This window comes from Homo sapiens, chromosome 12 (assembly GCF_000001405.40).
Source record: "Homo sapiens chromosome 12, GRCh38.p14 Primary Assembly".
Classification (NCBI taxonomy): Eukaryota; Metazoa; Chordata; class Mammalia; order Primates; family Hominidae; genus Homo; species Homo sapiens.
In genome coordinates this window covers 27932541-27950441 of record NC_000012.12, presented here as the reverse complement: position 1 = coordinate 27950441, position 17901 = coordinate 27932541, and positions in this window count along the sequence as shown.

The following is a 17901-nucleotide window of genomic DNA, read 5'->3' as shown; positions in this document are numbered from 1 at the left end:
GAGGAAATCCACATGGCAGGTGCACTATTCAACATTCATCTCATACACTTAATAAATGTCTCTCATGTGTTAGGTCCAGAGAACACAGAGACAACTGAGGCGGAGACCCTATTTCCAGGAACCAATACATTACCTGTGGTAACTGAATTTGGGTAAGCTTTCTGCTGGTGCCACCTGGAATTACAAGGGGAAACATTTCTCTCTCAAATACTACATCCCTTGTTTAGTGAACACATGTTGTTTGTCTGCCTGGTGTAGGCAAAATATTTGTGCTTCCAGTTGAAAACTATGCAACTATACTCTAGAGGAAACCCCTCTGGGTTATCAGATTCTGACACTGTGGGAGGTATTTACAACTCTGTGACTTTTAGGTAACCAATAGGAATGCAAAGTGATTTTTGTCTGTAATTTTTTCCTATTTGGTAAAGGTTTGATTGATTTCTTTCCCACTCACTCTGGAAAAAATAATTTTGCCCCCATTTGGACATTTATTTCAATATCCCTAAATCAGTTTCTTTTTTGAACGAGTTGCAACATTGGTTTTCTCGTTGATTAGTGAATATAATAAATCTTTTATATATGCTTATTTACACATCTGTATCAGTCATGATTTTACTTTTTTTCTTTTCTTTTTTTTTTTTTTTTTTTTAGACGAAGTCTTGCTCTGTCGCCCAGGCTGGAGTGCAGTGGCGCAATCTCAACTCACTGCAAACTCTGCCTCCCGGGTTCAAACGATTCTCCTTTCTCAGCCTCCTGAGTAGCTGGGATTACAGGCACCTGCCACCACACCTGGCTAATTTTTGTAGTTTTAGTAGAGACAGGCTTTCACCATATTAGCCAGGCTGGTCTCAAACTCCTGACCTCCGGTGATCCGCCCACCTCAGCTTCCCAAAGTGCTGGGATTACAGGCATGAGCCACCATACCTGGCCCATGATTTTACTTTTTTTTTTCTTTTTTTTCTTTTTTTGAGACACAGTTTCACTCTGTTGCCCACGCTGGAGTACAGTGGCGTGATCTCAGCTCACTGCAACCTCTGCCTCCTGGGTTCAAGCGATTCTCGTGCCTCAGCCTCCAGATTAGCTGGGATTACAGGCACGTACCACCATGCCCGGCTAACTTTTGTATTATTAGTAGAGACAGGGTTTCACCATGTTGACCACGCTGGTCTCGAACTCCTGAACTCAGGTGATCTGCCCTCCTCGGCCTGCCAAAGTGCTGAGATTAGAGGAGTGAGCCACTGCACCCAGTCCCCCATGATTTTACTTTTTAAAAAATTATATTTTATTAGCAGTTATCTTCCACTTGATAGGTCCACTCTTTTTCTCTAAACCATGTGTGTTTCAGGGATAGGAGAGTTAATGCAACCTTCCAGTCCACAAAGTGGGAAATGACCCAAACTTGGTCAGAGAACTCCATTATCCTTAACCATAATGATGGTTCAGGGATGAGCACGTAATCAAATTAGCCAATCAGAATTTTCCCTAGACTTTTCTGCTGAGCATAATGAGAATGATCATCCTGTTTCCTTCACAATCTTGAATTGTATGAAAAATGTTGGCATTTTTCTTGTTCATCGTCTCCCCAGCTGGTTGAAGGAGGCTGTCCAGGATAACAGGGAAAGAAGCTGAGTTACAAAGAAAAGCAGAGACGAGAGAGGAAAAGATAACCCTGACACCATGGCTTATGCCCTGGATCCACCTTGTTTTAGTCAGTTCATGCTCCCATAACAAACGACCATATACTGAGTGGCTGAAACAATACGTATCTATTTCTTACAGTTCTGGAGGCTGGGAAGTCTGAAACCAGGGTGCCAGCATATTTGGATTCTGGTAAGGGCCCTCTTCCAGATTACAGCCAGCCAGCTTCACCTTGTATCCTCACATGGCAGAAAAAAGGCCAGCTCACTTTCCCACCTCTTCTTATATGGGCATTTATCCCATTTATGAGGGCTTCATCCTCATGACCTAATTGCCTTCCAAAGGCCCCACTTCCTAATACCATCACACTGGAGATTAGGGTTTCAATATATGAAAAAAGGAACAAAACATTCAGTCCATTGCACACCCATTCCTAAAGTTTTTAATGATATGAGGCGGGCAGGGATGAGAGAGGAGCAATCTCCTTGCTCATAACATAGTTTGGTTGGGCTCTGTTACTTGGATCAAAAGGCTCTGAACAACAAGCTTGACTTCTGACTTTTTCTGACTTTCACTTCTTCACCAACAGCACCTATGTACTTCAGAGTTCTGTGAGTGCCCAAGCTGCACTAACAGATCATTTTGAGACCACAGAGATAAGCAGGATAAAGAGGGAACGACACACTATTCACATATATTAAGACAGATTTAAAGCATCAGGTAGTTTCTCCTGGGTTTCTTGTTACCAAACTCCTTCCAAGTCTTCTCTGGCAGCTGCTCCCTGGGATCATAGTTCTTTTTTCATCATTCTGAACTACGACATCATGAAGCACTGTCTACCCCTCTCCCCAGCCCAACAAAACGGGATAGGCGCCCCACTTACATGTTCCCATAGCACCCTGCAAAATGGAATCAAGACCAAGAAATACAAGCCAACCATGAGTGCCTTTTCAAATCAATTCTCTTAGATGTTTGTGTAGAGGAGAAGCCATATACTATGTGGGGGAAGAGTAGAGAGGGAGCTCCTGAGGCAGCCAGCAATTAGCTTCTCTTCTGTGGCCTGTGAAAAGTTTCCCTCTAGCATCAGATTTGAATCTCCAGTTCAGCAAAAGAAAAGCCCTGAAGATTACCAGCCTCTATCTCTTTAGAAAGGAATTTAATGATCCATAATTGCTATTCAAGCATGCTTCTTGGAGCTCTCCCCTGCTCGCCACCCTCCTCCAAAATGCTTATCAAAATAGTATAATTGTAATTCCCCTGAGTTTTAGAAACGCAACTCACTCCATTCTGTGCATGTTCAGTCCGCCCCTTCTGTCTAGCTCTGGCTCTCTGTATTTCCCCTAGAGACTCTCTTTACACTGATGTTAATTACCTGCCTACTTGTTTATATCCTGATGGACTGTAAGCTTCATGAGAACTGTATCTTTTATTCCACCACCAGCACATGGCATACCCTGGCCAGTATCAAATGCTCAACAAGAATTTGTCGAACGGGTATGAATTGTTGCCTCTAGATTTTAAGCTTCCTAAAGGCCAGGGACTTATCTACCTCACCTGTTTTATTATAGTTTCATCGGAGTGCTGCCTGGTGCCTGATATTATATAGGTATGTATGTATGTGTGTATATAATCATTATTGTTGTTATCCCTCTTGACATTCGCACAGAGAGTCTCTGACAAGCCACCCTCCTGATTATGGGCACTTATTACCTGGGTTCTAGAAGCCACCTCCCTCAGCATACCCACGTGTTCACTCACCATTGCATTCAACTCACTCCACCCATTCAACAAATATGGTTTACTTGTTTTCAAATAGATTATATAATATTTACTGGTACATAAATTGTGTTTGTAGGACTGTAATTTCCAAAGTTACTCCTTTTCTCTTTTTGTTTTCCTTGTTCATCATTTTGACCACATCCTCTCATGAGCTTACATTGATTTCCTATTACACTTTGAATCAAACACAATTTTCCGAGTATTTCTTTCAAAAGCCTCTCCCAGCTTGACCCGCCCTCTTTGTTTTCATCTCCTACTGTAACCTAGCCTTCACCTTCCACACCAACTAAATTTATTGTCATGTGGTTCCTTCCACTGGTTCTTCCTCTCCTGGCTGTGAGCCTTTGCTCAATTTTTTCCATATCTATGGAACAACAACCAAACCACAAGTTTCTCCTCTTTAAATCACAGCTCAGGGACCAGCTGCTTCAAGAAGTTTTTCCCCACCCATCTTCCAATCCATCAGATCATCACTGACCCAGACTTCTACCACCACAAAACCTTGAAGTGACTAAATTTATAAGTATGGTGTGGCTATAGTCCAACTTCTGGCTTACATTACTACCAAAGGCCTAATATCAGTATCAATCAATGTTAAATTTGGAAACAACCAAAACAAATGTCCGATATAGTTATTAAATCAGCACTGTAAAATTTAGTATTTTTGAGTGAAGACAATTAGGTAGTATATTTCATTTGAGTTTAATGAATGTATTCTCTGCCTTGTTCTACAAGGGATTTGAGAGATATTACAATAACAACACAAAATTGTTACAATGACAATTAAAACTAAATAAATACCAGGATCAAGGAAAACATGGATGGAATAAAATAGCAAGATTATGGAGAAAATTGGAATGTAAATATCAGGCCATAACTCCATGGATATTAAAGCCAAACTGCCCATTTGTTTCTGATCTTCTTGGCACTAAGATTATTAATTACTAAGCCCTATTTTTTAACTCAATTTTTAAAATTAATTTATCCTCTGAGTGAGTGTGAAAATTATCAGGTGATTGGTACTCTTTGGAGTTGATGCAGTAGTATAACACAGATTGGTGTTTCCAAAACTGTTTTGTATAAAACATAGTCACAAAAGACATGGCATAAAAAGGGGTTCCTGTGTTCAGCTTGAAAGGCTTTGAGCTGTCATGAAGAAAATAACCCCATTTTACTTTATTAAAATCAGTATTTCTCAAACTAACTTGAGCCCAATCCCCCAAACTTTTCCCCACATAATACCTGTCAACAGTCCATGGAAGTAGCTTCCAAGTGGCTCACTTAGGAAAAAGTTTTTAGTGTTGGGCAATAATAAAGAAATCAGAACCAAAACACCTTAAGATGCTTCTGTTTGTAACATTCTATTTATTTTATTTATTTATTTATTTATTTATGAGACGGAGTCTCACTCTATCACCCAGGCTGGAGTGCAGCAGCGTGATTTCAGCTCACTGCAACCTCCACGTCCTGGGTTCAAGCGATCCTCCTGCCTCAGCCTCCTAGGTAGCTGGGATTACAGGTGCCCACCACCACGCCCAGCCAATTTTTGTCTTTTTAGTAGAGACAGGGTTTTGCCATGTTGGCCAGGCTGGTCTCAAACTCCTGGCCTCAAGTGATCCACCCGCCTCAGCCTCCCAAAGTGTTGGGATTACAGGCATGAGCCATCGTGCCTGGCCTGCAACATTTTATTTCTTAAGCTGAGTGGTGGATATAGAGATATTCATTATACACTTCCATATATTTCTTGACGTGTTCAATGTGTTTCCTAATTACAATTACAAAAGCAAAATAACATCAACGACAAAATCATCCCCCTCGTAGAACTCTAGGTCCCAGCAGCTTACAGAGAGCACTGAGCAGACTGAACGGGGTGCTAACTTTAACCATGTAATGGCCTTGATTGTGTGCCTTATTTACTATTTGGAATAATATTATTGCAGTGACAGTAACAGCAGCAGATGCTTACTGAGTACTTACTGTGTGCCAAGCAATCTTCTCCAGGGTCTACTTCTATTAATTCATTTCATCCTTATAGCACCTCTCTGCATCAGCACTAGCATTATGCTCATTTTACACATGAGGAAGGTGAAGCATAACAAGGTGTAGTAATTTGCTGCAGGAAATGGCAGCGTTGGGATGTGAGTCCCAGCAGTCGGGATCCTGAATCTGCCTATTTCACTACTGCCCTATACTGTTTAAATCCTATTTTATGTAGGGTGGTCAAGGAAGACTTCCCTGATATGGAAACATCTGAGCAAAGGCCTGAAGGAAGCAAGGGAAAGAGGCATGTAGGGAATAGCATTCCAGGCAGAAGGAAGGTCAAGCTGATGTCAGTGAGGTAGGTGTGTGCTTGGTGAGTCTCGAGAACTCTCTGACATATGCAACCCTGCAGAATGAAAGCCCTTCCTCTCTCTCCAGAATCCATTTTATGTTCATTTATCTGCTATTTTTAGTTCCCTCAACACGCCTTTCATTCTCCCACCTCTAGAACTCTTCCTCCCTGAACACTCCTCCCCAGCCTTCCATGTGCTTTCCTTTGTCAGGCTAACTTCTCTGGGCCTCATCTTACTCACATCTTCCATTATGTCTTCTTTGAACTCGCTGTTTCTCAAGTAGTGAGCCCCATAGCTCTGTGCTTTTCCTCCCGATAGCTAACATTTATTAGGTTCCCCCTCCGGCCCCCACCACCATGAGACAGGATTATGTTAAGAACTTGGCTGGCATCATAGCATGTCAATCCCATAAGAACCCAAATATAATAGGTTTTGTTAGTGCCTCCATTTTCTGGATAAGAAATCTGCGGCTTGAAGGTCAAGCAACTCACCAAGGTTACAAAGCAAGAGCCTGAGTCTAGATAATGCCAAAATCCCTGTTCTAAGCATTCTGTCCAGCACTTATCACACTGTTCTGTGATTGTATGTTCACATAGCTGTCACCCACTAAGCTCCTTAAAGCAAGGACTGTGTCATGTTCCCTAGTGTCTGGAATGGTTTCTGCCACATAAGTTGAATAAACATGTGCTGAATCAATGAAAGGAACATAGCAGCTCTTTGCATGAGCGGAGCATCCCTGTTCTCAGCATCACCAAATCTGGGTGAGAACACTTGGATCTGAGGCTTAATTCTGATGTTTAGCAACTGTGCCTGCACCATTCACACCCTCTTTCTTCAGCCAGACCACACCACGTATTTCAGATTCTGCATTTCTGCTCACTCCATATTCTCTATCCATCAAGCTTCTCCTGACCAGCCTCAATCTTTGATAAGAGCCTCATATACTAGCCAGATGCAGTGGTCCACACCTGTAATCCCATCTCTTTAGGATATTAAGGCAGATGAATCACTTGAGTTCAGGAGTTCGAGACCAGCCTGGGCAAAATAGTGAGACTTCATCTCTACAAAAAATACAAAAATTAGCCAGGTATAATGGTGCACACCTGTGGGTCCTAGCTACTCAGGAGGCTGAGGTGCAAGGATCACTTGAGCCTGGAAGGTCAAGACTGCAGTGAGCTGAGATTGTGCCACTGCACTCCAGCTTGGGTGACAAAGTGAGAAACCTATCTCAAAAAAAAAAAAAAAAAAAAAAAAAAAGAGACTAATATACTGACTCAGAGATATATTGATTGTCCGGGACAGTCTCTCCAAAAATCCAGAACTTTGCCAACATATCGCCTTCAAGAACACTCCATAGACAATTCCTTATTCTCTACTCCTGACTCTGAGCTGTTCCCTGCATCTCTCTGATTTTTGTACCATATATTGTTTGGTATCCAAATAACATACCATATATTGTTTGGATCTGATTTGTACCATATATTTTAAACTTATTATGACTACATAACATCATAAAAGATTCCTCAGTTGTTCTATTTCTCCAATCATACAACAACATGGTGGACAATAATCAATTCTTTAAAGAACTTAAATGATATTTAAAAGGCTTGTTTATAGAAATGATTCTCAGTAAACTATCGCAAGAAGAAAAAACCAAACACCGCATATTCTCACTCATAGGTGGGAATTGAACAATGAGATCACATGGACACAGGAAGGGGAATATCACACTCTGGGGACTGTTGTGGGGTCGGGGGAGGGGGGAGGGATAGCACTGGGAGATATACCTAATGCTAGATGACGAGTTAGTGGGTGCAGCGCAGCAGCATGGCACATGTATACATATGTAACTAACCTGCACAATGTGCACATGTACCCTAAAACTTAAAGTATAATAAAAAAAAAAGAAAAAAAATGCTAATTCAAGAGTTATTAAAGCTTTACCTAGCACTCATGTATGGGAAGTGGTTTTAAATATTATAGAGTATGAACAGTTTTTGAGATATGTAATATTTGGATTTGAATTTTTGCTTACGTCTTTTTAATTAAAACTTTACAGTGTAACAGGTCATGCTCTGGATCAAACTCATTTTGTTTCTATTCTGAACACTGTAGAATCCATATCTAAGGAAGAACAGGCTGTGAGATGCATATGTGATAGTAATTTCTTCAAAATAACAACTAAATAACAAAATAACTCCTAAGTAAACATTTCTAGAAATAGATCATTACACACACACACATCACACGTTTTAAAGAAATCACACCAAGCTTGGTGCAGTGGCTCACATCTGTAATCCCAGCACTTTGGGAGGCCGAGACAGGCAGATCACAAGGTCAGGAGTTCATGACCAGCCTGGCCAACATGGTGAAACCCCATCTCTACTAAAAATACAAAAATTAACTGGGCATGGTGGCACACGCCTGTAGTCCCAGCTACTCAGGAGGCTGAGGCAAAAGAATCGCTTGAATCCAGGAGGCGGAGGTTGCAGTGAGCCAAGATCGTGCCACTGCACTCCAGCCTGGGTGACAGAGCAAGACTCCATCTCAAAAAAAAAGAAAGAAATCACACCACTGATCTGGTGAAAGTTATTAAGATATTAGAGTACTATGATGTTGTGATAATTACAGACCTTTTTCACTAGCATAGCTTCTCTTCATTTGTAATATTGCCTAAGAGTGAGCATTTCTTATGTACTGAGCACTGTCAAGGGCATTGTATGCATTATTTCATTGAATTCTTCAAAACCCCTCTGAAGTAGGTAAGGTGATTGTCTCATTTTGCAGATGAAAACCATTAAACTCATTGATTCAAAGAACATGTGCCCAGAAAGGTCATGTCAGAATTGGAAGCAGACAATCTGAGTCCAGAGCCTCTGCCTTTCCTAAAATATAGATTAATTCATAAATTCAGATATCATTAGGGAATTTAAAAAGTCAAAAATTTTGCTACATAGTCTTTACAATTGACAAATAGGAAAAAGAAAGAAGAAAAAAAACCGATGCATAAGGTAAGATGTTGAAATTTCTTACATTAATTTAATATGTATGGTCTATTTGTCTTCTGGAAAAAATAGCATTTCCCATTAATTATAAAATAGTTCTAAATTATGGAATAAAATACTTGCTTCATGCCATATGATTTAAAACTTATTCATTAGCAAGCACCACAGATTTTCTTATATTCAAATATTATTTTTTCTCAATGTCAACATATACCACTTTTAAGCCTAAGGACTATTTGATCATCACTTTGAGAAGTTTCTTGTTGCAAAATAACAGGTTGGCAAAGAAAATACTGAATTTGCCAACTTAAAAATGTTAGTCATGATATTTATGTCTAAAGTTCATCATTCGTTTTGTAAAACCTCTAGTGTCTTTTCATTATTATTAAATATTGAAGTTTTCTAAAAACACAAACCAACAAAAATTTTGGTATGAATTATGCCACATTAATATAAAATTTCCAGAGCTTCAAAAGTTTTTTTTTTTAAACCACATAAAACAGAGCTGGAAGATATTTTAAAAGGTCACAAGGTTCATCCTCAACCACTTGCAATCAAGACTAGTATCTAAGAGACACATTTTAAGATTGTTTACTAGAATAATTTCAATCATATTCATAAATTGTGCTCTGATTATTTAACATGAAACATGTTACTGGCATACTCTTAAATTCAGCTGACAGCCTGGGAGTGACCACGAGGTGGCAGCACAGGAGACACTCAGCCTTGAATTCAACTTGTACTCCCCTGACTGGAGGAGTAAGCCAGAGAAAGGTAGGTATAGAAGAAGACGCAACACTCTCCTTTCTCTTAGAACTTTCAGATTGTGTGGCTTTGCTGGCCATTCCATTTATGGGTTAGAGGAGCCAAAAACAAGAATTACTTTTTTAATGGAGGAAAATATCACCTATAAGCTCATTCCTTTTCACGTTTTCCTTCATAGGCATGTTTTTGCGTAGTTGTTGTACATATAATTTTCTGGTCTTCTAATCTATTTTACACTGTTTCTGTTTTCCTGCTTTAAAATTTCAATGGATGGCTGGGCAGTGTTTCAGGCCTGTAATCGCAACACTTTGGGAAGCCACGGCAGAAGATCTCTTGAGGCCAGGAGTTCAAGACTGGCCTGGGCAACATAGCAAGACCTCATCTCTACAAAAATTTTAAAAATTAGCCAGGGGCAGTGGCATGTGCCTGTAGTCCTAGCTACTCAGCAGATGGAGGCAGGAGAATCACTTGAGACCAGGAGTCCCAGGACGCAGAGAGCTATGATTGCGCCACTGCACTCCAGCCTGGGCAATGGAGCAAGATCCTGTCTTAAAGAAACTTTTTCAAAAAATGTCAATGGCTTCTCCCTGCTCTTCTCAAATGGCCCTTGATGGTCCCTCCAGCCTTTTCTTTTCCAAAGTGATCTCCCTGCAGACCACAGGACATGGCACAGTGAAACACACTCAATTCATATTTATTGAAGTTTTCATTTTTTAAAAATTATTGTGGCAAAAAAATAAGGTTTTCTATCTTAGCCATTTTAAGAGTGCAGTTTAGTAGTGTTAAGTATATTCACATTGTTCTACAACAGATCTCCAAGACTCTTTCGCCATGCAAATCTGAAAGTCTATGCCCATTAAACAATTCCCCTTTTCCTCCACTACACCCACCAGTCCCTGGTAACCACGATTCTACTTTGTTTCTGTGATTTTGACTACTTCAAATACCTCACATAAGTGGAATGATATGATACTTGTCTTTTTGTTACTGGCTTTTTTCACATAATATTATCGGGGTTTATCTATGTTGTAGTATGTGACAGAGTTTTATTCTTTTTTTTTTTCTTTTTTTTTTTTTGAGACGGAGTCTCGCTCTGTCGCCCAGGCTGGAGTGCAGTGGCGTGATCTCGGCTCACTGCAAGCTCCTCCTCCCGGGTTCACGCCATTCTCCTGCCTCAGCCTCCCAAGTAGCTGGGACTACAGGCGCCCGCCACCACGCCCGACTAACTTTTTGTATTTTTAGTAGAGACGGGGTTTCACCGTGTTAGCCAGGATGGTCTCGATCTCCTGACCTTGCGATCCGCCAGCCTCGGCCTCCCAAAGTGCTGGGATTACGGGCGTGAGCCACCATGCCCGGCTGTTTTATTCCTTTTTGAGGCTGAGTAATATTCCATTGTATGGATTTACTGTGTTTTGCTTATCCTCCATCCATTCATGGACATTTGGATTGCTTCTATCTCTTGGCTACTACGAATAATGCTGCTATAAACATGGATGGGCAAATATCTCTTTGAGATCCCTCATTTAGCTTTTTTGGATGTATACTCAGAAGTGGGATTGCTGGACCATATGGTACTTCTATTTTTAATTTTTTTAGGAAGCTCCATACTATTTTCCATAGAGCTACATCATTTTAGTTTCCCACCAACAGTGCCCAAGGGTTCCAATTTCTCTTCGTCCTTACCAATCTTGTTACTTTTGGGGTTTTGTTTGTTTGTTTGTTGAAACAGGATCCCACTACATTGCCCAGGCTGGTCTCAAACTCCTAGCCTCAAGCTATCTTCCTCCTACCTTTGAGTCCCAAAGAGCTGGGATTACAGGCATAAGTCACCACACCCGGCCTACTTTTGTTTGTTTGTTTGTTTGTTTGTTTGTTTTCATAATAGCCATCCTAACAAGTATGAGGTAATATCTCATTGTGTTTTTGATTTGCATTTCTCTGATTAGTAATATTAAGCATTTTTTCATATGTTTGTATGTCTTCTTTAGAGAAATGTCTATTCAAGTCCTTCATCCTTTTTAAAATCAGCTTGTCTTTTTGTTGTTAAGTTGTACAAGTTCTTTATATTTTCTAGATATTAACACCTTATCAGATATATGATTTGCAAATATTTTCTCCCATTCTGTAAGTTACCTTTTCACTCTGTTGATTGTGCCCTTTGATACACAGAAGTACCAATTTTTTTTAAAGAAATGACTTGGCGTTCACAATTACCATTCTTTGCGGCAGCCACATCATACTTCCACTCAGCAAATAGTTACATCTAAATTGAGTTAACCATTCCTCTGTTATAAAACATTTCCTATTCTGGATAATTCCACTAAAATAGTTTTGTGAGTATAATTTTTTTCCTTGTCTTAATGGTTATTTTCTTAGAATATATTTCCAGAAGTAAAATTACTGGATCAAATAATATGAACATTTTATAGTTTTTGATACTTGCTAAATTTTTCTTATTAATTTCCATGACCAACTATAATATTCAAACAGTCACTGTTTATTGAACTCTTAGAATAAACTGAGTGCTTAGAATGTATCAAGGACTCAGCTACATTCTTTGCACATAGTATCACTTGTTCTCACATCAATGCTGCAAAGTAGGAAACATCACCATATTATGGTTAATAATATAGATTTACCCTTGTATTAGTTACCAAGATCACACAGCTTATAAGTGGCAGAATTATCATTTGATTTTAATTCTGCCTAATTCCAAACACCGTATGAATCTTTTCATGATACTACATTGCTTGTCTGTGTTTGAGAATATACCACTTTTACCTTTTCTTCACTCCAGTTTTGAGAATTGTAGTGTTTGCTAATTCAATCGAAGAAAAATAGATAATTGCTATTTTAAAATACATGCCTTTGATTACATGCACAGACGAATATTTTTCCACATTTTGTTTACTCTACTCCTTATTGTCTCCCTCCCCAACACCAAATGGATGTTTCCTGTCTCTGCACAACAGTATAGCACATAGCCTTTTCACAGTAAGGGTTATTACACAACTTTTATCCTGCCTTGAATTGTGCAACTTTCTCTTATTTTTTTTGTATCTTCTGCTTTATTTTCATATCTTATCAAATAATTTAACTTTTTCTAGAGTGAAGATATTCACCTTTTATCCAACATATTTGTTGCAGTATGTTCTTTGCCAATTTGTTATTTTCCTTTTTATTATTGTTTTCCTATTTACATCAAATAGTTCTTAATTTTTACACATCTAGTTTGATGTTGATCATTTACTTGGTGGTTTCTTCTATTGCTGCTTTGCATAGAAGTTTATTCTAGCTCCACTAATAGATGTCTGATTAATATTTCTACTTTCTTGTTAGTTTTTCTGTTTCAAACCAATTCTACTATTTAAATATTTAATCCCTCTAAAATTTATTTTGAATCATAATATAAATGTAAAGGTATCACTTTTTCAAAATTGTAAAGCAGATAGCCCCAATACCATTAATAATCTTCCCTTTCCTCACTATTCTGTAATGCCTTAATTATATATTAAAGTCATTTACATGAACTAATTAATTTTTAAGATAACTTTGTGATATAATTAGAATTAAAGTGTACAATTCAATGGCTTTAGTATAGTCACAGAGTTATGCAACTGTCACCACAACCTACTTCCAGAATATTTTCATTACCCCAAAAAGAAACCACACATCTCTTAGCAGTCACTCCCCATTATCCCCTTCTCCCAGCCTCTGGCAACCACTAATCTACTTTCTGTCTTTATAAATTTGCCTATTCTGGACATTTCATACAAATGGAATCATCCAATGTGTGGCCCCTTAAGACTGTTTCTTTTTTTTTTTTTTTCACTTATTTTCTTTCTTTCCCTTCAGGTTCATTCATGTTGCAGCACATATTAATACTTCATTGCATTTTATGGCCAAATAATGTTCCAATGTATAGATATACCACATCTTGTTTATTACAAATGTGGTGGTTGTTTCCACTTTTAGCTATTATGAATAATGCAGCTATGAACATTGGTATAAAAGGTTTTGTGTGGTATATATATTTTTTTTCTCTTAGTTATATACCTAGGAGCAGAATATCTGGTCATGAAGTAACTGTTTAACTATTCGAAGAACTTCCAAATTGTATTCCAAAGCTGCATCATTTTACATCCCCACCAACAATGTACAAAGGTTCCAATTTCTCTACATCCTCATCAACACTTGTCTTACTGTCTGTCCTTGATTATAGCCCTGCAAGTGAGCACGAAGTGGTATCTTGTTGTGTGTGTGTGTTTTGTTTGTTTGTTTTGTTTTTGTTTTTTGTAGTATATAATATTTAACATCTTCTCATGTTCTTACTGGCGGTTTGCATGTCTTCCTTGGAGAAATATCTATGCAAATCCTTTGCTCATTTTTTAATTTGGTTGTCTTTTTATATTTGAGTTGTAAGAGTTAGTTACATATTCTAGTTATAAGTCCCTCATCAGAGCTATGATTTGCCAATATTTTCTCCCATTCTGTGAGTCATCTTTTCACTTTGTTAATGATGTCCTTTAGAGCACAAATGTTTATGGTTTTTTTGTGTGTGGGTGGGGGTTTTCAGCCCCTCCCCTCTGATAATTCATCTGATTGGTGAATTTGGGAAATTAGCTGGACAAGTTCAGCTCAGCAACTTTCTTTCCGTATCTTTTGCGATCTGCCTGTTTGGCAGGGAGGTATTCCAGGCTACAATTTGCCCTATGATATAAGGGTCCTGCCTCCAGGAGGCAGAGGAGGGAAAAGACTCAAGTTTTTCTAACTGTGCCAGAGGCTGAGTATGTTTAATTCTGGGTTGAAGCACTGGCATTTAGCTCCAAAGCTAAAGCTGTGTTCTTTAAGCCATTGTATCAGTAATAAAGATCCAATTTTTGATTTAAAAAAGAAAAAACCTTCAGTTAAAAGTCTCAAAATATTATCTAGCCAGAAACTTTTGACTTCAAATATATTATATCTTATATATATAAATATCACATTAGAAAAATGAATGGAGTATGATAAAGTTGTAACAGGTCAAATTCTTGTCAGAATCTAAATTATTCTTCACTATGTTTTATTTGTAAATGTTTCATGAAACTGTAAATTCACAATGTGTGAATCTATAGCAATACAAAATTATGCTAACTTTTTAAAAAATGAAAATTATCTTCTCTTTTATGCTCAGCTTTGGTTGCAGAGAAAGATGAGCACCCATATTCAAGTTCCCTGGAAGGAGAGTCAAGGGAATTGTTGGAGGCCTACAGGTTCATGGGTCCCGAGCTACATCTGCTTTCCTTCTGTACATGGTTCATCCCCATGGATGTAACTGATAGCCCAAAGCACAGTTCCATTACTTACCACCTGTCCATCCTTCCCAGGCACAGAGGAGCTTCTACTATTAACTGATAAGATTGCTTAATAACAGAAAAGATGGGCCTATTTTTATTGGCCATAATCTTTGTTTTTTTACCTAGGTAATCAAGAAACTAGGTATACTTGAACAATTGTGAGGCCCTGATTGATTACTACTACTGAATGAACTCACCTGAGACACAGAGGTATAAGCCAGTACAGCATTTCCCACGAATATTCTATTGCATACTAGTTCCATTGGATATAACTAGCTATTGAGCAAACAAAGCTTCTATGGTCAAACAAGTTGGTTTATGCTGGATTTCTTTATCATTGGACTTCTTAGAACCTTTAATATGTGCTTTATGTGAGCCTCATAATCTCCAAGAGAGAATCTTAGTACACAGTATTCCCAAACTTACTTGACCCAGAACTTTTTTTAATAGACTTTATTTTTAAAAGAAGTTTTAGGTCCACAGCAAAATTGAGGGTGAGATGCAGAGATTTCCTATATCCCACCTGTCCCACACATGCACAACCTTCCCCATTATCAACATCCCCCACCAGAGTGAATCATTCATTACAATTGACGAGTCCACATTAACACATCATTGTCACACAAAGTCCATACTTTACATTAGAGTTCACTCTTGGTATTGTACGTTCTTAAGTTTGGACATATTTGTAATATATTCCCCCCATTACAGTATCACAGACAGTAGTTTTACTGCCCTAAAAAATCCTCTGTGCTCCATCTACTCATTCCTCTTTCCCTATTAAATAAACCCTGGCAAACATCAGTCTTTTACTGTCTCCACAGTTTTGCCTTTTCCAGGATGTCACATAGTTGGAATCATACAGTATGTAGCCTTTTCAGATTGGCTTCTTTTACTTAGCAATATGCATTTCAGTTTCCTCTGTGTTTTTTCAGGGCTTTATAACTTCTTTTTAGCACTGAATCATATTTCATTGTAAGGATGTACCACAGTTTATATATCCATTCACCTAATGAAGGACATCTTGGTTGCTTCCAAGTTTTGACAATTATAAATAAAGCTGCTATAAACATTTGTGTGCAGGGCCTTGTGTGGGCATAAGTTCTGAACTCATTTGTGAATACCAGGAGCATCTGCTGAATCATATGGTGAGAGTATGTTTAGTTTTGTAAGAAACTGTCAAACTGTCTTCCAAAGTGGCTGTACATTGCTGTACCAGCAATAAATGAGAATTCCTGTTGCTCTACATTCTCACCAGCATTTGGTGTAGTCATTGTTCTGGACTTCGGCCATTCTAATAGGTGTGTAGTAGCATCTCATTGTTGTTTTAATGTGCATCTCCCTGATGACATATGATATGGACGTCTTTTCCTATGCTTGCGTGACATTTGTATGTCTTCTTTGGTGAGATGTCTATTAAGGTCTTTGGCCTACTTTTAATAGAGTTTTTGCATTCTCGTTATTGAGTTTTAAGAGTTCTTTGTACATTTTAGATAGCAGTCCTTGATCTGATATGTCTGTAGCAAATATTTTCTCCCAGTCTCTGGCTTGTCTTTTCAATCCCTTGATCTGTGATCTAAGACAGTTTTATCTCTTGCTTTCCAATCTGTATACCTTTTCTCTCCTTTTCGGTTGGGGGTGAGGAGAGGGGTTCTTATTGCATTAGCTAGGACTTCCAGTACAATGTTTAAAAGCAGTGATGAAGTAAGGTTTTATTTTTATTTTTACAAAGAATAATGTATATATACATATATATATAATGTGTGTATATATATACATAACTTAGAAAAAGCCATTAACTGTTGGCTGTGGCCAGTTGTGGTTTTAGTTTTAATTGACAAGAAATATTCCCAAGGAGTGAACAGTATGATAACCCACAGTGGTGGGAAAAGATATACTGTTTAGGGAAAGCAATATTTTTATTACTCTCCTAGTACACATTATAGTTACTAAAGTTCAACAAATTCTTTGGGGGTGGGGAGATACACCAAATATAGAATGAGAAAACAGTAGAGTGAACATGTATTTAGCATCTCCCAAAAAATAAAAGTGAGAAACACTATTTTGGAGAATAATGTTGCATATTTCTCTAGCACTGTGCCCATATAAGCTCTAAAAGGTGTTAAGTAAATTTATACCATTTGCTGAGAACTGAGCAATGCAACCTGTTGCCTTTCAAATATACAGATCATTCTCCTACCACCAAAAAAACCACCTGTGCACAGTCTAGATCAGCACTTTCCATGGAAATAAAATATGAACCACATATAAAATACTTTACATTTAAAAAATGTAGCCACATTTTGAAAAACTAAACAGAAGCAGGCAAAATTCATTTTAATATATATTGGTTAATCCACTTTATCTAAAATATTACCATTTCAACACACAATCATTATAAAATGTATTAATGAGCTATTTTACATTCTTTTTTCATACTAAATTTTTGAAACTTTGTGTCCACCTCACACTTCCAGGACATCTCAATCTGGACTAGCCACATTTCCAGCATTCAGTAGCCACATGTGGCTCGTGGCTACCATATTGAACAGTGCTGGCGGAGGCCTCAGGAATCTTCTAGGCCAAGGAGCCACAGTAAGAGGGAAGGCAAGGGAGCAAAAGGAGAAAAGATGAAAACTGATAGAGGAAACAAATGGAGGGAGAGGAGGAGAAATGAATGAGAAAATAAGGCAAAGGTAAATGAAAGGAGAGAAAGAGGGTAAACATTTTCTGAACACTTGCTATGTGTCAGCCATTGAGTGTATTAGGAAGTGCCTAGATGCTTCCTGGCTTCTTGACAACAACCTTTAGCATCTTCTGGGTCCTTAAGTAAGAAAGTCACATTTGAAGTGGGCTACTATTACTAGTGATGATTCAGTAAGTTAGAAAAGTCCTTCAACACTAAGTCGTGGGAAAACATTATCTGGTTGACATGCCTGTAGGATGGAGACTAATCAGCCTCTAGCATGGAAAGGAAACCATTGAGAAGGCTGCGTTTGAGAGAATAAGAGTGCTCAAAGTAAACATAAATGATCCTTTTATTCA